The sequence below is a fragment of the Homo sapiens genome, chromosome 4 (assembly GCF_000001405.40).
Source record: "Homo sapiens chromosome 4, GRCh38.p14 Primary Assembly".
Lineage (NCBI taxonomy): Eukaryota > Metazoa > Chordata > Mammalia > Primates > Hominidae > Homo > Homo sapiens.
This window is the reverse complement of record NC_000004.12, coordinates 98,828,131-98,849,224: the sequence shown is the minus strand read 5'-3', so window position 1 is coordinate 98,849,224 and position 21,094 is coordinate 98,828,131. Positions and strand designations below refer to the sequence as shown.

The following is a 21,094-nucleotide window of genomic DNA, read 5'->3' as shown; positions in this document are numbered from 1 at the left end:
GGGACCCCTTTCCAATAACATTTTCCTTGCAAACCCCAAAGGGACTATACTGAGGAGACCCCCAACCCAAAGGAAATAGACTACAACACTGATTGGCTGACTTTGGGTAAGTGGTAGGGTATCCCGGTAAAGGATGGGATTGGGTTAGAGGCCCAACTTAGGAGAGTTAAAGTCTCTCCTAAGACAGAGTAGGTTAAAGGTGCCTCTTAAAAGGCAGGACACTTGACTGCACTTGCCTTCAAGGCCTGACTTAGGAAGGTTAGAGTCCTTCCTAAGATTTAGAGGGTTAGAGATCCCTCTCAGTAAAGTACCTCAGCTAAGAACGGATTTGGCACTACAGGATGTTAATTGCTATTCTTTTTGGATTAATCTGCCTTGCACTCTTTGCTGATGGCTGTGGGTGACAGGATTAGGCATGTACAGGATCATGGGACATGGGGAACTTTTTTTCTCCCCAAAGAGGGAATCTCAAGAGCTGATGGGACTGCTGGAAAAGATTCCTTCACTACCAACAAGCAGCTGCCTGAACTTTTGATTCAGTGTCACTGTAATGGGTGTGTCTTTCTCTGGCTTCCCTGAACTCCTTGCCTTCCCCACTCTGCTGCAGGCAATGCTTTTCTCCCTTCCTTTCCTTTCTCTTTTCTATCTTTTCTGTTATTCAGGGCAATTGTCCACTGTTTCATCCTGCCCAGAGACCACATGTTGAAAAGTGTTCTTGGGAGCTTGACCTTGTAACCACGTGGCAGTACTTCCTCTTGGTCTCTGGCTTCCATAGAACAGGGATTTTGGGGCTCCTGTCATAGTTAGCCCTAAAAATTATTTTGAACAGTTAAAAGCCTTTGCAAGCTCATAATTGGCTGCTCTGGACTCCTTCTGGGTCGGGCAATGGAAACTGCCCAATGTTGTAGCTCAGCAGCTAAGGCTTTGCCATTTTACAGTGGCAGGTTCAATCCTGATTTAGGGTATGCGTACTTTCTGGTTGATATTTGAGTGACGTTTGACATTTTTTTATTCTCTTCCCCTCCATGAACCATCTTGAATTTTCTTTGAGCACCTGGGAGGTACCTTTGGTAAAGTTCAAAAGTCAGAAATATTGGTGGTTTGGCATGGCTAAAGTCAGGTAATAAGAGATTTAAAACGACCTTTTTTTTTTTTTTTTTATAAGAGCGCTATGGTTAAAAGTCAGCTTGATTAAAAGCAGATATTCAAGCTCTTATAGCCTGAGACTTCTTGGGAAGAACTGAGGAGGCACAAGATCATGTTTTGGGAAAAACCTGTTTTGGGGAAAATTTTCCTCACGGAACCCCAGGAATTGAAAGTGGATAGATCCCTCTCAAAATCTAAGGTTCTGTTCTGTTCCACCTGCCTCAGCCTCCCAAAGTGCTGGGATTACAGGTCTGAGCCACCATGACCAACTTCTTTGACTCTTGAAAATTTTCCGTTTAACTACTTTGGAGCATTAGATTCTAGATAAGGCATGGGCACATCTGGAGTCAGCCATGCCCCTAGCTATGCTGGAAAGAGGCAGACCTTATCTGCACTTCTGTCTGATGTCCTAGGCTCCACATCTAGTAAATAATTAAAATTCCTTAGTTCTCAGGTTTTTTTTTCGTCCAAAAATAATTGTTTCTAAGAGTTAACATTATAACATATAATTGAGGCTATTGAAGAAACAGTTTTACACGCTAGGTGTATAAGGAAAGTGAAATGTGTTTTTGGTAAAAGATTATAAGAAATCATGAGAATGTGGATCTTTTTTGCCTAAAGTGTTAAAGGATTGTTTCAAGTTAGATAGGAAAAAGCTGAAGGTTTGAACAAGTTGTGAAAGGTTTATGAACAATTACTCTTGTAAAAAAATTGTGTGTGAACATATTAGCTAAAAGTTACAGAGGCATTATTCACTTTTTCCATAAATTGAGCATTGGAATAAAAGCACAACAGGGTTTCCTGAGAGCAATGATCTGCTCTTTAACAAAAAAATTGTAAGGGGTTATAAAATGTTTATGAGAATCTTACCTTATGATCAAACTGATTAAAATTTGATAGATTTGTCCATAAGGTTTTATTAAGAATTGGGTTTGACATCAATAATGCTTTAATGCAGAGGTAAAATTTAGGCTTTCTCTTGAACAAGATTTTCATGGTATATTAAAAAAATGAAAATTTTTTGTTTGCCTTTTGAATAAACTACAGGAAAAAGAAGGGGAAGAAAAGAGACAGACTGTTTGGAAAGCTAAGTCTTCTCTCTATTAATAAGTAAAGGTTTTCCTTTTTGAAAATTTTGAGTTATCATTTTGTCTAAATGAATGGCTTATAGTAACCTCATATTCTATTTTAAAATATCAAGTACTTAAACCTTTAATATTTGACAAACTTTCCAAAATCAAATTATAAATTATGTCTTTTTCTTATGTAGTTAATCTTTTATATATTAAGTCCCCTAAAGTCCAAAAATGATGTATTTGGCTTATTTGGAATATTAAAATCATACAGGAAGTGTTATCAAATATGAAATGGTGTTTGGCTTTCTTTGGGCTGTATTTGTATAAATATGTTATTGGTATGTGTTCTAAAATTATGGGAAACTTATAATTCTGATATAACTTAGTGTATAACAGTTATATTGTTATGTACAATTATTGTATGACACAGACATAACCAAAAGTCCTATTTAATTGTGGCTTTAATAGTGGCTGCCCTAAGACTTTTTGTCATCTACAGATAATTGTTGTCTTGTTTTTATCCTCTTCAAAAGGTGGTTTTATAATCAACTATAGAACTCTAACAAACAAGCGCTCTTGAATGTAGGTTTCTAATAACTTTGGAGATTGTGACATTAGAATAGAGGAAAAAACTTTCAGGGCTCTCCTGGAGAGCTGGAATGTTCATGAATATCAAGCAGAACAGGAGTTAACTGCAGGGACTGAACTAATAGAAGACTGAAGTAATGTTTTTGGCTTTTTGCTTAAAATGTTGCTGATCCTTTGTTTTGTTTATCAGAGCCAAGAAAACTTTTCTCTTGAACTATTTACAGCTTTTAACAATTGAGCAAAGTATACTCCTGTGAACAAACTTTGGAGTATATTTGTTTCTCTCTAACTGATTTCTCCAGAATTTGGAAACTATTTGTGAGTATTCTTAATTTATGGCAATATAGTTATTTGCATAAATGCAGTAAGAATGTTTTCTTTTGCAACAGTTCACAGTTGGAGAAGTTAGTTATTTTACCAAGGCTTTGGCTGGAATAGTATGTTTTCCTTTAAGGAATCAAATTTGACTTGTAGATCCAATAAAAGCTGAAAACTGGCCCCATATCTTGTCTACACAGTCCCTGTACAGGGTTCCTAACTGTAGTAAGTAAGGAATGTTACTTTCTGACAGGCACAGGAGCCCCAAGTTATCTTAGGACAACAAGAGGAGAGGAATTTGCCCAATTCCTAGGTATTTGAGGGTACAAACCCTGGCCTGGGCTTGACTTCAGAAAAAGTCTTATCTGAGATTCCTTTTATGGAACAAAGTTCCATCAAAGCCCATTTTAAAAGCCTATGTAAAAAATAATTATTTTTGCTGCACTTTATACGAATAACCAGGCCAAATATAATAAAGCAAATCAGTCTTGCCATAATTTGTCTTTAGTAAAAATGGGAAACTGGAAAAAGAAAAAAATTATTTCAAGAACTATGATATATCTGTTATTAGATTCTAATGCCATCAGTTGTTTTTGAGTTGTTTCTTTTTTTTTTTTTGCAGCAATAGACTGACTGCCTATTCCTGTGAACCGACAAGTGATCTCTGGCTGCAGCTCAGAAGAAACAAGGACGGGTAATGTAAAAATTTGGATCAATATTCTAATTCTGACCACATATTGGAATCAGCTAGCAAACCCATATCAGCTTGGTTTCAATAATTGCGCAGTTCATGGAAATCCTTCTTATTTAGTTTACTTGGGATAATTTTACTGATTTTGTTTTACTGTTGTGGAAAATATTGCTGTTGTACTCTGTTTAGGAATGCAGGATAAGTTTACTGAATGTTTTCTTAAATTGAACACTTATTAATCTTCCAGATACCACCTTTTGTCAGAACTCAGAGTTATGAATGACCCTCAGCATACAGATATCTTGTGACCGAGCTCCTCTCTATCCTGAATATGAGAGACCCTAATAGGCAAGAATATCATTGCCCCCATTCAGCCTGAAGAAGTTACAGAAGATGGGTATTCATTCCTCTACAACCATTAGGATTACAGGTTGTTTTGTAAAAGGGAGGGGGAAATATGTCACAGGTGTTTGAACCAGAGCAACTCCATCTTGAATAGGGGCCGGGTAAAATAAGGCTGAGACCTGCTGGGCTGCACACCCAGGAGGTCAGGCATTCTTAGTTACAGGATGAGATAGGGGGTTGGCACAAGATACAGGTCATAAAGACCTTGCTGATAAAACAGGCTGTGGTAAAGAAGCCAGCTAAAACCCATCAAAACCAAGATGGTGATGAGAGTGACCTCTGACCCCTCTCACTGCTTATTATATGCTAATTATAATGCATTAACATGCTAAAAGACACTCCCAGCAGCACCATGACTGTTTATAAATGCCATGGCAACATCAGGAAGTTACCCTATATTGTCTAAAAAGGGGAGGAACCCCCAGTTCCCAGAATTACCTACCTCTTTCTTGGAAAATTCAAGAATAATCCACCACTTGTTTAACATATAATCAAGAAGTAACAATAAGTACAGGCAGTTGAGCACCCCAAGACACTGCTCTGCCTATGGAGTAGACATTTTTTTATTCCTTTACTTTCTTAATAATCTTGCTTTCACTTAAAAAAAAGATGATATATCATGACCAAATTGGATTTATGTAAGGATTTCAAGTTGGCTTAACATCAGAAAACTTACCAACATAACTCACCAATTAATAGATTAGTGGAGAAAAATTATAATATTTCTCAATATATGCAGAAAAAGGATTATACTAAATCCAACATCCATGATTTTAAAAATACTGCTAGTAAATTAAGAATAGCAGGGAACTTCCTTAATCTTACAGACAGCATCTACCAAAATTTACAGCAGAAGTTATATTTAACCAGGGAAAGTAAAAAGGTTTCCCTTTAAGAATGGGAGAAAGATAAATTTGCCCACTTCTATTCAACATTCTATGGGAGGTCCTAGAGAGATCACGAAACTGAAAATAGCAATGCACAGGAGTATGAGATAAAAAATAAAATTGTCATTATTTGCAGATAATAGGATTGTGAACTTAGAATTTAGCAGGGTTTCTGGGTTCATAAGCAATATATAAATCATATTTTTATATATCATTAACAAGCAGTTAGAAAATAAAATTTAAAATAAGCAATATTAGCATTAGCATAAAAAATGTCTAATGAACAGATCTAATGAAAAAAAATGTTAAAGACCTTTATGCAGGAAGCTAAATAGATTACTGAAAGAAATTTTAACAGATTTAAATAAGGGGAGCTATATGTCATGTTCATGGAATGAAAAATCCAATACTGTAAGCTGTCAATTCACTCAAATTGCCCATAGAGCTATAGATTTAATGTAATATTAATCAGAATGGCAATGGAAATTTTGTGTATAAATTAACAGTGATTTAAACTTATGTGGAAATAAAAGGCTAAGAATAGATAAGACACTCAATAAAAAAGAACAGTTTTCAGGGAACTTGCCCTACCAAGTGTCAAGACTTATTTTTAAGTATTAGGAATTTTAAAAATACAGTCTTTTGGTGCAAAGATCAGAAAATAAGACAATGGAATAAAATAGAAAACCCAGAAATAGACTCATGTATATATGAACACCTGACTCATGACAAAGATGACACTATCAGTGGGGGGAAAAGATGGCCTTTCCAACAAATGATGCACGAAAAATTAGACATTGCTGTGGAAGAAAAGAAGCTTCAGCCCGAACTCATATCACAAACACACAGAGTAATTCCAGCTGAGATAAAGACTGTATTAGTCCATTTTCACACTGCTGATAAAGACATACCTAGACTGGAAAGAAAGAGAGGTTTAATTGGACTTACAGTTCCACATGGCTGGGGACGCCTCAGAATCATGGTGGGGGCGGGGGGAAAAAGGCACTTCTTACATGGCAGCGGCAAGAGAAAATGAGGAAGAAGCAAAAGCGAAAACCCCTGATAAACCCATCAGATCTCGTGAGACTTATTCACTGTCACGAGAATAGCATACCAAAGACCGTCCCGCGTGATTCAATTACTTCCCCCTAGGTCTCTCCCACAACACGTGGGAATTCTGGGAGATACAATTCAAGTTGAGATTTGGGTGAAGACAGAGCCCAACCATATCATTCCGCCCCTGGATGCTCCAAATCTCATGTCTGCACATTTCAAAACCAATCATGCCTTCCCCAACAGTCCCCCAAAGTCTTAACTCATTTCAGCATTAACCCAAAAGTCCCCAGTCCAAGGTCTCAAGGCAAATCCCTTCTGCCTATGAGCCTGTAAAATCAAAAACAAGCTAGTTACTTTCTAGGTACAATGAGGATACAGGTATTGGGTAAATACAGCCTTTCCAAATGGGAGAAATTGGCCAAAACAAAGGGGTTACAGGACCCATGCAAGCCTGAAATCCAGCGGGGTAGTCAAATCTTAAAGCTTAAAAATGATCTCTTTGACTCCAGGTCTCACATCCAGGTCACGCTGATGCAAGATGTGAGTTCCCTTGGTCTTGGGCAGCTCTGCCCCTGTGGCTTTGCAGGGTACAGCCTCCCTCCCAGCTGCTTTCACGGGCTGGTATTGAATGTCTGTGGCTTTTCCATGCACACAGTGCAAGCTGTTGTTGGATCTACCATTCTGGGGTCTGGAGGACGATGGCCCTCTTCTCACAGCTCCACTAGGTAGTGCCCCAGGAGGGACTCTGTGTGGGGGCTCTGACCCCACATTTCCCTTCCACACTGCACTATCAGAGGTTTTTTATGAGGGCCCCGCCCTGCAGCAAGCTTTTGCCTGGGCATCCAGGCGTTTCCACACATCTTCTGAAATCTAGGCAGAGGTTACCAAACCTCAATTCTTGGCTTCTGTGCACCTGCAGGCTCAACACCACATGGAAGCTGCCAAGGCCTGGAACTTCCACCCTCTGAAGCCACTGCCCGAGCTGTATGTTGGCCCCTTTCAGCCATGGCTGGAGTGGCTGGGGCACAGGACACCAAGTCCCTAGGCTGCACACAGCACAGGGACCCTGGGCCCAGTTTTTCCTCCTGAGCCTCCAGGCCTGTGATGGGAGGGGCTGCTGTGAAGGTCTCTGACATGGCCTGGAGACATTTTCCCTATGATCTTGGGGATTAACATTAGGCTCCTTGCTATTTATGCAAATTCCTGCAGCTGGCTTGAATTTCTCCCCCCAAAATGGATTTTTCTTTTCTACTGCATCATCAGACTGCAAATTTTCCAAACTTTTATCTTCTGTTTTCCTTTTAAAATGGAATGCTTTTAACAGCATCCAAGTCATCTCTTGAAAGCTGTGGTGCTTAGAAATTTCTTCTGCTGGATACCCTAAATCATCTCTCTCAAGTTCGAAGTTCCACAAATCTCTATGGTAGGGGCAAAATGCTGCCAGTCTCTTTACTAAAAGATAACAAGAGTCACCTTTACTCCATTTCCCAACAAGTTCCTCATCTCCATCTGAAACCACCTCAGCCTGGTCCTATTGTTGATATCACTATCAGCATTTTTGTCAAAGCCATTCAACAAGTCTCTAGGAGGTTCTAAACTTTCCCACATTTTCCTGTCTTCTTCTGAGTCCTCGAAACTGTTCCAACCTCTGCCTGTTACCCAGTTCCAAAGTCGCTTCCATGTTTTCGGGTATCTTTTCAGCAACACCCCGCTCTACTGGTACCAGTTTACTGTATTAGTCCATTTTCACACTGCTGATAAAGACATACCTGAGACTGGGAAGAAAAAGAGGTTTAATTGGACTTACAGTTCCACATGGCTGGGGAGGCCTCAGAATCATGGCGGGAGGCAAAAGGTGCTTCTTATATGGCAGTGGCAAGAGAAAATGAGGAAGAAGCAAAAGTGGAAACCCCTCATAAATCCATCGGATCTCATGAGACTTATTAACTACCATGAGAATAACACAGGAAAGACCAGCCCCCATGATTCAATTACCTCCCCCTGGGTTCCTCCTACAACATGGGAATTTTGGGAGATACAATTCAAGTTGAGATTTGGGTGGGGACACAGCCAAACCATATCAAAGACCTAAATAAAAGGCCAAACAATGAAATATTTAGAAGATAACATCTTCGTGGCCTTTGGCCATGGCACAAAATGCATTAATAATAAGAAAAAATTAATTTGATTACATTAAAATTATGAGCCTGTATTTCTCAAAAAAAGACCATTAAGATAGTAAAAAGGCAAGCAATAGAGTGGGAGAAGGAAATTGCAACATATATAGCCAACCAGAATATATAAAGCACTTCTACAGCATCAAGAAGGAAAAAGTTAAGAAAACTCACAGAAAAATTGCCAAAAAACCTAATCAACTTTACAAGGAAGATACCCATATAGTTCACAAACATGTGAAAAGGTGCTAAATCTTATCAGTATTTAGGAAAATATAAAGTAAAACCACAAGATAGTACCCCACACCCACCACATAGGCAAAAAAAGTCCTGCAAAAATTGAAAAGCCCAACAAAAAGTGGAAGGGTCAAATATTTTAAAAATTACATTGGTAGATCAAAATCCTACCATATTAATAACTGCATAAATATAAATGGACTAAACTATTAAAAGGTAGAGATTATCGAATGGATTAAAAAAGCAAGACTGACTCCAATGTATTCTATCCACAAGAAACGAACTTTAAATATGAAAGATATATTAAAAACAAAAGGATGGAAAGAGATATACCATGCAAATGATAAGCATCAGCATGTTGGGATGGGCATATAAGTGTCAGTTAATATACCTGACAAAACTAGTATCACAAAGCAAGGCTACAGGGTAATTGTACACATATCAGTGCACAAACTTTAAAATATTAACAATTAGAATCTAGTAGCACGCCCGGGCATGGTGGCTCACACCTGTAATCCCAGCACTTTGGGAGGCCGAGGCAGGCATCAGGAGTTCAAGACCAGCCTGACCAACAGGGAGAAACCCCATCTCTACTAAAAATACAAAATTAGCCAGGTGTGGCAGTGCATGCCTGTAATCCCAGCTACTTGGGAGGCCAAGGCAGGAGAAACGCTTGAACCTGGGAGGCAGAGGTTGCGGTGAGCCGAGATTGCATCACTGCACTCCCGCCTGGGCAACAAGAGCAAAACTCTGTCTAAAAAAAAAAAAAAAAAAAAGAATCTAGTAGCACATTAATGCAGTAATAGCCTATACTCTAGTTGGAATCATATCAGAAATACAAGAACAGTCACAAAGAAAACAATAACAGCTAACCAGGTTAATAGATAAGAAATGAGAATGACAGGATTATCTCTGTTGATGCATACAAGCATTTAAAAAATTTCAATATCTCTTTTTGATTTTTAAAAAAATAATAAGAATTAGAACTTTTCTTAACACATTTTTAAAGTCATGTATAGGCTGGACTGGGCTTTTACCTAGGGGGAGTAGGGGACAATCCTTTTCCAAGCTCCTTTAGGTTGTTGGCAGTGCTTAGCTCTTCGTGGTTGAAGGATCGCACTTCCTGTTTCCTTGCTTGCTGTCCGGCAGGGACTGCTCTCAGCTCCTGGAAGCTGTTAATATTTCTCACCACGTGGTTTCCTGCACTTCCAAAGCCAGCAATGACATGTCAAATGTTTCTGACACTTGGAATCTCTCTGACTTCCAGCTCTACTACCAGCTAGAGAAAAATCTGTTTTTATAGGGCTCATATGATTAAATTACACCAACCAAAGTTCTCTATCTCTCTATTTTAAGATCACATGATTAGTAACCTTAATTACATCTGCAAAATACTTTTGCCATGTAACTAATATAATCATGGGAGAAACACCAGGGGGCAGAGACCATGGTGACCATCTTAGAATTGTGCCTACAACAGAAGCTTAGAGAAACAAGGACAGGATTATGAAGGTGTGGTGTACGCCATGAATAGAGAGAAATAGCCTTAGGCTGTAAAAATTTAACATGTGATTTTTTTCTCTGTAACTTAAAAATAATCTTAAATTGAGAAAAAATACTCTCATAAAAAGGTAAAAGACAAAAGGGTCATATATTAAATTGCAAATTTTTTGAATAAACTAGGTTGGTGCAAAAGTAATTGTGGTTTCAGACTGAATTTTAAATCATTATAACTAGGCTTAAACATCTTTATTAATGAAAATGGGAACCATTACAATCAACACATTTTTGTCAGTGAGAAATGTTTGTTTATTCCTGTAGTATAAAGATCCTTGCTTCAAGATTTGACAAATGCTTGGTTGGCAGATGAGGCCAAATTTCGTAGCATAATTCGTCCAACTTTTGAAGCGTTGGTTGTGCAATGTGCAGTCAGGCATTGTTGTGAAGAAGAATTAGGCCCTTTCTATTGACCAATGCTGGCTGCAGGCTTTGCAGTTTTCAGTGCACCTCACCGATTTGCTGAGCATACTTCTCAGATGTAATGGTTTCACTGGGTTTCAGAAAGCTGTAGTGGATCAGACTGGCAGCAGACCACCAAACAGTGACCATGACCTTTTTTTGGTGCAATTTTGGCTTTGGGAAGTGCTTTGGAGCTTTTTCTTGGTCCAGCCACTGAGCTGGTCATTGCTGGTTGTTGTATAAAATCCACTTTTTGTCACATGTCACAATCCAATCGAGAAATGGTTCATTGTTGTTGCATAAACTTCTGGAACCACCACTGCACTGTACGTTCATTAGCAGTTCTGGGCCAGATGCACTGTTGATGTTGCAAGTTGTCTCCTCTGCTTTACGACCCATTTTGAACTCAACGAAGAAAATTGCTTTTTGTCTAACATCATTTCTGTAGTCTAAAATAAACATAAACAGAAAGTAATGTTATTAGCCAAAAAAGTGAGAAATACCCATTAAAATGATGTATAACATAACCACATTTATTTAAGAATGTATTCCAATATCAAATGGCAAATTTTAACAATGCAAAAACCACAATTACTTTTGCACTCACCTAGTATTATTTTAATTTCAGCACAGTGCTGAGCACACAGCCACTGTCCCCAACCATTTCTGTCATTATTTAAATGAAGACCACTCGAAAATTCTGTTCCCTAATCATCACAGGATTTCTATGTGGGATAATTTGGAGATGGATTTCTTTAATTTTTTTTCAAGATAAAGAGCTATTAAATTAGAAGTGTGTGTGTGTGTGTGTGTGTGTGTTTAACTCATTGTATGACATGGATCACTAAGGCCTGTTTTAAGGGAGTAATGGAAGTCATCCGGGAACACTAAAATTAACCACCTCACAATATTCCAAACTAATGGGAAATGCATGACTAATTCTATTCTGATATGGGACACCAATGCTACATAAAAATTATTTCAAAAATTTTAAAAGGAGTATTTTTTAAAATTAATGTTTTTAAAATTACCTTTTAAAATTCTAGATGAAAAATTCCTTTAAAGGTGTTAGAGATTACTAAATAAGAATGAACATATTTTGTGGAGAACTTATGTTGTACAGTGTATTATTTTGTACTCCAAATATCAGTTGTCAGACACATGCCCAAAATAATCTCTGACACAAGGTATCCAAGTTCATACTGTCTAATTTGTAAAACTTGATTCTCAGAGAGGGCTTCAGTGTGTTATTTAGAAGCTCACATCTTTGTCTCAACTTTTCATACATGCAAACGTAAAATTTGAATAACAGCCTGTGGAAAAAGCAACTTCCTCACATCATTCACCAATCACAAGCCTCCCTTCTTCCTTATATATGCACACACTTAACCTTCAAGTTTTTTTTTTTTTTTTTTTTTTTTTTTTTTTTTTTTTTTTTTTGAGGCAGAGTTTTGCTCTTGTTGCCCAGGCTGGAGTACAATGGCACGATCTTGGCTCACCACGAGCTCTGCCTCCCAGGTTCAAACCATTCTCCTGCCTCAGCCTCCCGAGTAGCTGGGATTACAGGCACGCGCTACTGTGCCTGGCTAATTTTGTAGTTTTAGTAGAGACGGGGTTTCTCCATGTTGGTCAGGCTGGTCTCGAACTCCTGACCTCAGGTGATCCACCCGCCTCAGCCTCCCAAAGCACTGGGATTACAGGCGTGAGCCACTACGCCCGGCCTTCAAGTTTTATTTATTTATTTTGAGATGGAATCTTGCTCTGCTGCCCAGGCTGGAGTGCAATGGCACAATCTCAGCTCACTGCAACCTCCACCTCCCAGGTTCAAGTGATTCTCCTGCCTAGCCTCCCGAGTAGCTGGGATTATAGGCACCCACCACCACGCCCGGCTAATTTTTGTATTTTAGTAGAGATGGGGTTTCACCAGTTGGTCAGGCTGGTCTCGAACTCCTGACCTCAGGTGATCCTTCTGCCTCAGCCTCCCAAGTGCTGGGATTACAGGCGTGAGCCACCATGCCCGGCCATCTTTCAAGTTTTTTAAAATGTTGTTTTAACAACATCAACTGGAAAAGCATGGAAATAGTTAAGAATGCACTTTGTATCCATTTGGGTTTACTTTATTTTGATAACAGGGTTTTCATCATCACTTCTAAATTATTTATGAGGTAAAAGAAAAGTAGCATGTCATAGTAGAAAGTGCCCTGGGTTAGGATCCAGGGGGCCTGGGTTCTGGTCCTGACTGTACTCTGCTACTACCTACTGGACAAGTCTCTTAAACTTTTACTGATCCCCCTTTTTCAACCAGTAAGACAGGTTGTATTCGATCATTGTTTCCCAAAGTGTGCTTCATTCATGAGTATTAAATGCTAAAGAAAGTTTGGGAATATTGGATTAAGCCAAGTTAAAGATTTTCTTTAATGTAGGATTTCTCAGAAGTTTTAACATGCCAATGTGTATTGTGGATTTTCAAAGTAGAAATGCATTATGCAGGATCTCCTAAATTTGCCTGACTAAAGAACTCTTTTACTGAAAAGCACTTAATAGAAGCACTGTCAAGAATTGCTGAACCCAGAGATCGCTGAATTACTGTCCAATACCATGATTCTATCATGATTTCCAGGCCATTGTTCTAATCCTTTAGGGACTACACTCACATCTTGGTATGAGACTTTAGGTCTACTGTCCTGAAAATTTGTCCAGGAAGCCAGAGATGCAAGTAAATGGGTCTAAAATATGTTCAGTAATGCAAACTTGTATCCTAAAATATTTCAGAAGGGAAATACAGACATGCCATTACATGATTATCATTTTTTAGTAAGATACAATTTTTTGGATCACAGGAATGAAAAGTTCTAGATTTTACATTAATATTTTGCTCTGACTTTACTAAAGATATTAAAATAAGAGTAAATTTCTATTTTTTAAAGGATAATTGTTAAAGCTATTACAATGAGAAAGTGATTTATAAAGAAAGCAAGTCTTTAAAGACAAATAGAATTTTAAATTAACTCTTCCTTCTAATTTTTGAAGAGTGATATGTTTACCCATTATTTGCAATTCAAAAAATTATATGTGTACTTGCTAACCTGCCACATTGTGATTTTTGATATTCATTTGAAGTAAATTCACCAAATTAACCATAATGATATCTGTTTTTTGGGTTCGTTTGTTTGTTTGTTTGTTTAAAAGGGTCTCGCTCTGTTGCTCAGGCTGGAGTGCACTAATATTGATTATGGTTCACAGCAGCGTCAACCTCCTGGGCTCAAGAGAGCCTCCCACCTCAGCCTCCCAAGTAGCTGGGACTATAGGTACATGCCACCATGCCCAGCTAAGTTTTAAATTTTTTGTAGACAGGGTCTTGCTATGTTGCCAAGGCTGATATCAAACTTCTGAGCTCAAGCAATCCTCCCACCTTGGCCTCCCAAAGCACTGGGATTACAGGCATGAGCCACCGTGCCCAGCCAGAAGCATAAGATATTATACTTCATGGATCAGTAAAATATATATTTTCTTTCTTTCTTTCTTTCTTTCTTTCTTTCTTTCTTTCTTTCTTTCTTTCTTTCTTTTTCTCTTTCTTTCTCTTTCTTTTCTTTTTCTTTCCTTCCTTCCTTCCTTCTTCCTTCCTTCCTTCCTTCCTTCCTTCCTTCCTTCCTTCCTTCCTTTCTCTCTGTCTCTCTTTCTTTCTTTCTCTCTTTCTTTTTTTTTTTTTCTTGAGACAGACCCTTGCTCTGTCACCCAGGTTGGAGTGCAGTGGACCGATCTCGGCTCACTGCAACCTCCGCCTACCAGTTTCAATCAATTCTCCTGCCTCAGCCTCCTGAGTAGCTGGGCATGCACTACCACACCTGGCTAATTTTGTATTTTTAGTAGAAATGGAGTTTCATCGTGTTGGTCAGGCTGGTCTCGATCACTCTGGACCTTAGCTGATCTGCCTGCCTTGGCCTCCCCAAATGCTGGGATTAAAGGCCTGAGCCACTGTGCCCCTCCACTAAGATATATATTTCTAAAAACATTGGAGAATGTGGGAGTTCCCAACCTTTTTTTATTTAGGCCAGGTAGGGTATATTTAAAAGCAACTGAAAAAAAAAAAAAAAGCAACTAGCATCTACTATTTCCATAAGATAAAAACATAACATTTTAGCACCATAAATTTAGGAAAGACAACATCAGAATAAAAAAGGATAGTTATTTAGGCTGGGCATGGTGGCTCATGCCTGTAATCCCAGCACTTGGGGAGGCCGAGGAAGGCGGGTCACTTTAGGTCAGGAGTTTGAAACCTGCCTGGCCAACATGACGAAACCCTGTCTCTACTAAAAATTCAAAACTTAGCTGGGAGGGGTGGTAAAATTCAAAAATTAGCTGCTCCTATAATCCCAGTTATTTGGGAGGCTGAGGCAGGAGAATCGCTTGAGCACAGGAGGCGGAGGTTGCAGTGAGTCAAGATCTCCCCACGGCACTCCAGCCTGGGCAACAGAATGAGACTCTGGAGAGTTATTTGAATGTTAGCTTCATAAAAGGTCAGCTACATTGCTCCCTTTTTCATCAGTTTCACGTAGATTAGGGAAAGCTTCACCACACAACTCCTCTGGTCCAGGGACCAGCCACTGTTTCAATCAGGTGTGAAGAGCCTCCTTGCCTGGAAGGCCGAGGTCCTGGGAGACAAATGTCCCGCCCTAGGCAATAGATCTCCTGAGGCCACCTCTAAGCTGCAGTGTTTGGGAGAAAAGTTGGGTTATGTTTGTTGATTGGTTGGTTCTGTTTTCAATATTGCTTGCTATTTCTTTTATGTTGTTTCTTTCTCTTAACACCCTTTTCTTTCTCATTTTTCCTTCATTGTTACACAATCTATTCTCCTGAATCCATTACCTTAATTGGAAAACTCAGAATAAAAATTACACAACACTTTTTTAAATCCAGCAGAGCCAGTCAGGGAGAAGCTGATTTCTCCATGGGAGGAAGTCAGGGGACGAGGGATAGAACAAGGTAGAATGGTTGTCCTAAATGCCCTTTTTGAATTTGGCACATTACATTCTTTCACCATTGCCTCAGCCTTTGCATGCTCAGCAAGGAAGCACTTTGAGTCAATTATTCTTTGAAATGTTTCTTTCAGTGCCACTGTGAGTTGGTGACATTTTCCTTGGCTGCCTCTCATGACCTATTTATAGTACCTGTTTTAAAAATATGCCTGGTTTGACACTTCAGAGTCTATCAGAAGTATGGGAACATGAATAAAAAAGGGTATGAAAATTAGCAAAAAATAAACAAACCTATACACACACACACACACACACACACACACACACACACACACACACGGGTTTTATGACTACTCCTAGATTATTTGTTTGTGTGTATATATATATATATAATAGATTATTTGTGTGTGTGTGTGTATATATATATGTATATATATATATGTAAAATCTGGGAGTAGTCATAAAAGTCTAGATTTCTCTGGTCTTCAATAGCAGAGTCAAGGTGAGAGCTACTGAGCTATATCTCAGTTTCTCCATTTGTCAATGTCCAAGAGGCAAAGAAGAAGTCAGTCTGAAGAGGCACAAAATGGGGACCCACACAAGTTCATTTTGCCCCTTCTGCGTGAGCAAACACACCTATATGACCAACTCCAGCCCTGAAGGAGAAGCGACTCTCAGAGTATGGAGAAGACATTCTTTAACATTATCAATGTTGGTCAACATGAGCTCTCAACCCAGAGCACCCTTGCCCACATGTTATGAGTCCCCCGTGCTGAGAAGGCATTTTACTGATCATATTGCCTTCTCTTCTAGATTCTGGGTTTTTCACAGATCCAGCCTGTAGCTACTTTCTTCAACCTCATTTATGCTCTCTTTCTTTTTGTTTTGAAACAGAGTCTCACTTTGTCACCCAGGCTAGAGTGCAGTGGCGTAATCATACCTCATTGCAGCCTCAAACTCCTCAGCCCAAGCAATCTTCCTGCCTCAGCCTCCTGAGTAGTTGGGACTACAGGTGCGTGCCACCATGCCCAGCTGATTTTAAAATATTTTGTGGAGACAAGATCTCCTATGTTGTCCACGCTGGTTTCTAACTCCTGTCTTCAAGTGATCCTCCCACCTTGGCTTCCCAAAGTGTTGGGATTACAGGTATGAGCCATTGCACCTGGCTCCCCCATCTGTGGTCTCTTGATGGGCAGACAATACATTTCATGCAGAAGGAGCAAAAACATGGCTGGATCAACTATACTTTCTGGGTAGGTTACCTGTGTTTTGGAAACATTTTCCAATTATATCAAGTTAGGTAAAATTCCATTCATTTCATCATGAAGCAAATGATACATGAATTCAATATTTTTCCTTTATTCTTTCCTTACAGCTCTTAATTATCTGCACATAATCATTTGGAAATATTTTTATTTATATTTCAATATAAATAGAGTCCTCTGGTTCAAAATTTCAAAAATGGAAAAGGCAACCCAGTAAATGGCCTCCTTCTGTCCACGCCCCCAGTCATCTAGTGCCTGTTGCCAGAGGCCTTCAGAGTTTCCAGTTTCTTGTCTATTCTCTTGGGGAAGGGGCTGGGGAAGGACTTCTTTTGTTCATCCACAAGGTTTACCTGAAAAGTGTTTTTTCCCTAACTCTCCTGGCCTCGGCCCCCATCCCTTTCTCCTCTCCTCAGAAAATAATGAGTTATATGATTGATGAGGGTGGCAGAAAAATTGGTGCACGAAGCTTAGTTATTTCGTGCCCTTCCTTTTTGGAGCAAGGTGACTCCAGCAAACAGACTTTTTGCTCTCCAATCATGTTTAAGCATGGACAAGAGTGGCCCTCACATGGGGAGGGTTGTGGGGGCCCAGCCCAAGTGAATGAGACTGCCTAGTTCTTGGGTTTAGTACTGGGGAATCTACTGTTGGCGCATACCTGAGTTGTGTTCTCTGACATGAGCTTTATCAATAATAAAAGTAATATTTTGAATTCCCATTGCCATTCTTTGTTTTCTATCAACCACAATGTATATAGACACAGAGATATAGACACTTGTAATTTTCCCCTCCTTTCCTTTAAAAAATTAAGTGATGGTGTACTAAATATCTTGCTCTCCATCTAGGAGATCATTTGTTATCAGTACATAGAGTATATTCTCATTTTCCTTTCTGGATGCATGGAATTCCCTTGTGTGGGAAGATCATTATTTAATCAGTCCCATATTAATGAACAGTAAGGCTATTTTCAATGTTTTGGTATTACTAATGTGCTGTAATGAATGACTTTGTACAGATGTCATTTTCCATACATGCAAATATTACCTACCTGACAAAATACAATAATTAGAATTACTGGGTCAGGCTGGGCACAGTGGCACATGCCTGTAATCCCAGCACTTTGGGAGGCCGAGGTGGGTGGATTGCTTGAGCCCAGGAGTTCAAGGCTGCAGTGAGCCATGATTGCATCACTGCATTCCAGCCTGGGTGACACAGCAAGACCCTGTATCTAAAAATGAATGAATGAATGAATGAATGAATGAATGAATGAATGAATAAAATAAAAAGAAAAAAAAGAATTGCTGGGTCAAAAATGTGCATGTGTATTTGGATGCATTTCTGCCTTTGTAATTAGTCCACTGAGCAGTCTACCTTACCATATAACATTATTCAACTGGCTTTATAGTACATTTTAATATCTACTGTAGTATTTTTTAAATGACTTTGTGCTATTTCTTGCTGTTTAAGTCAATCAAAATTGTATAAAATTTATGCACCTAGTTAAGGAGAATTGACATCTTAATGAAGCTATTTCTTCATTATGATGCCTTTTTAGTTATTCAAGGCTCCTTTTGTGTCTCTTAGTAGAGTTTTAAAGTTTTCTTCATAGAGATCTTGAATAATTCTTCTTAATACTTTACCCCCAAGTATTTGTTATTTTAAATTTTTTATTTTTCCTTCTTATTAAAAAATTCAAGCTTACCAGAAAGTTGCAAAAATAGTACAAAGAACTCCCATACTCCTCTTGCTCAGATTCACCAAGTTTTAACATGTTGCCATATTTATTTTATTATCTCTTTCTCAGTATAGATACATTTTTTTCTGACCCATTGGAGAGTATGTTACTTTTATCATGCCCCTTTACCTGTTAATTCTTCCATGTGTATTTCCTACAGACAAAAATATTTCTTATGTTGTAATAATACAGTAATCAAACTCAGGAAATTTAAAATTGCTATATGCTATTATTTAATCTGCAGCCCATATTCCAATCTCATTAATTGTCACAATAATGTCATCTGTAGCAATTTCATTCTTTCTTGGGACAGGATCAGTCGCGGATCATTGGTTATCATGACTCTTCACTCTCTTTAGAGGACGTTCCTCAGTCTCTCTTTGTCTTTCATAAGAATGTCTTTGACTTTCATAAGACATTTTGGAGAAGGCAGGTCAGTTGTTTTATAGAATTTTTTCAGTTTGGGTTTGTCTGATGGTTTCTCATAGTCAGATTCAGGTATGAACTTTTGGCTGGAAAACAATATGAATGCTATTGTGTTCTTGGGGTATCATATTCACAGGCTTATTTATTTCTTATTTTAGCAATATTAATTTTAATAATTAACCCATTTGTTTCTTTTATTATTATTATTATTTTTTTGGACAGAGTCTCACTCTGTTGCCCAGGCTGGAGTGCAGTGGCATGACTGCAGCTCACTGCAACCTCTGCCTCCCAGGTTCAAGTGATTCTCCTGCCTCAGCCTTCCAAGTAGCTGGGATTACAGGCAGGCACCACCATGCCCAGCTAATTTTTGTATTTTTAGTAGAGATGAGGTTTCACCACGTTGGCCAGGCTGGTCTTGAACTCCTGACCTCAAGTGTTCCACTCGCCTTGGCTTCCCAAAGTGCTGAGATTACAGGCATGAGCCACCGCACTCAGCCCTACTTTGTGTTGTAATTCGTTGTGATATATATATGCATGTGTGTATGTGTGTGTGTATATGTTTATACATGTACATATAAATATGTAAATATATATCTTTCTGTCATTCCTTCTGATATTAATTCTGTATCCAACTATTTGTTTAAAGAAATGGGTCTCTCACGTTTCTGTACATCTTGCAAGCAGAGGCTCTGCCTGCCTGGGTCCAGACACTTTTTTCACGTTGTTGTAGTGAACAGTCAAGGAAGATAGAGATAGTCCCTTCCTCTCAAGCAGGGGAAAAGTTCATTTACTGTCCAGAATTGTGGTCCTTGAAAGTCACCTGTGTTAGGTACTTGGACTTTTGAATCACTTGTAGTCTGATATTAGTATACTTTTTATCATAAAAGTGACTGTCACAAAATTAGCCACTCAACAATAGGCTGATTGTGAAGAAATTCAATGGACCTTCCATGTTCTCTACCATTCACAGGCATCTGGTATCATTGAGTGTTAGAATGGCCTCCTAAAAAACCCACTCAAAAAGATTTCTAATTCTCCTTCCTTCACCTCCTACCACTCAACACACCTTAGTGAGGCAATCTGATCAATTAACGCAGCTATTTCCCAAAAGGAGTCATTTCCTCTCAGTCACTCCCTGGGTGATGACCAGAGGTGAAGGGCTATGTAGACTTAGTGGGATTCTGTCCCGACCATTCTTGGGCACGCTTCTTTCTTTCTTCTAAGAGCAACCAGGGCCAGCCTGTTTGGCACACCCTCCGAGCGACAACTAGCCAAAAGGGGGCACAGAAGAGTCAAACTTAATTCTGACTCAGGCACTGGGATTCTCTTTTTGTATTGACATGATCCTAGATCATAAAGATAATGACCACTAAGTTAAGCACACTGCTTGCCAAGTCCCCATATAGTGGCCCAGGTTGGCCAGAGTTTGTGATGTAATAGGCCTCTGTAAGTTTTGTCCATCTTGCACTTGACCTTTTCAACAAAATGATGAGTAAAAGCAGGGATATGACTGGAAAAGAAGGTGAAGACATAGCCACTGGACTGGATTTTGTAGCAATGGAAGAGGGAGCAAAAACCTTAGCACCTGCAGAGGGAACACCCTAGATCCTAGTGGTATGGGGAAGAGAGGGACATTAATATTTCTTTTTCTTTTCTTTTCTTTTCTTTTCTTTTCTTTTCTTTTCTTTTCTTTTCTTTTCTTTTCTTTTCTTTCTTTCTTTTCTTTCTTTCCTTCTTTCTTCCTTTTTCTTTCTTTCCTTCTTTCTTCTTTCTTTATTTTTTTAAGAACCACCCTGGAGCCTTCCCCATGAAGGAAAATGCTCAAAAATGCTCTGATGTGGCTCTCCTATGAACAGTGAGAAAGGGATGACAGAGTAGAGATAATTACTTTCTTAAGTTCTTATTTATCAGAGAGGCTGAGGGGAAGGACAGAAAGCTAAATTTTCATCTTCCATGGTGGGAAATTAATAGATGATGCCTAACCCCATAATTTTTGTTAGGTCCATATTCAGGTTTATTTTATTATGACTATTAAACCTTATCCATAGATAAGCCAGGTAGTAAACTAGGATTACTTTTTTTTTTTTTTTTTTTTTTGCTGTGCAATTTTTTGCAGAATGCCAGAGGGGTTGGGATCCAGTATACAAGTGGAGAATAT

At 38.9% G+C, this 21,094-nt stretch overlaps 1 long non-coding RNA gene across 1 annotated transcript in view; it reads left to right on the top strand.

Moving 5' to 3' along the window:
- The window catches only part of LOC105377343 (uncharacterized), a 78,644-nt gene that overhangs the window by 13,306 nt on the left and 44,244 nt on the right, over positions 1 to 21,094 (top strand). Inside the window, exon 2 of the long non-coding RNA XR_007058196.1 lies at positions 3,751 to 3,822. This is a non-coding gene — a long non-coding RNA (uncharacterized LOC105377343). The remainder of the gene's footprint in view (positions 1 to 3,750; positions 3,823 to 21,094) is intronic.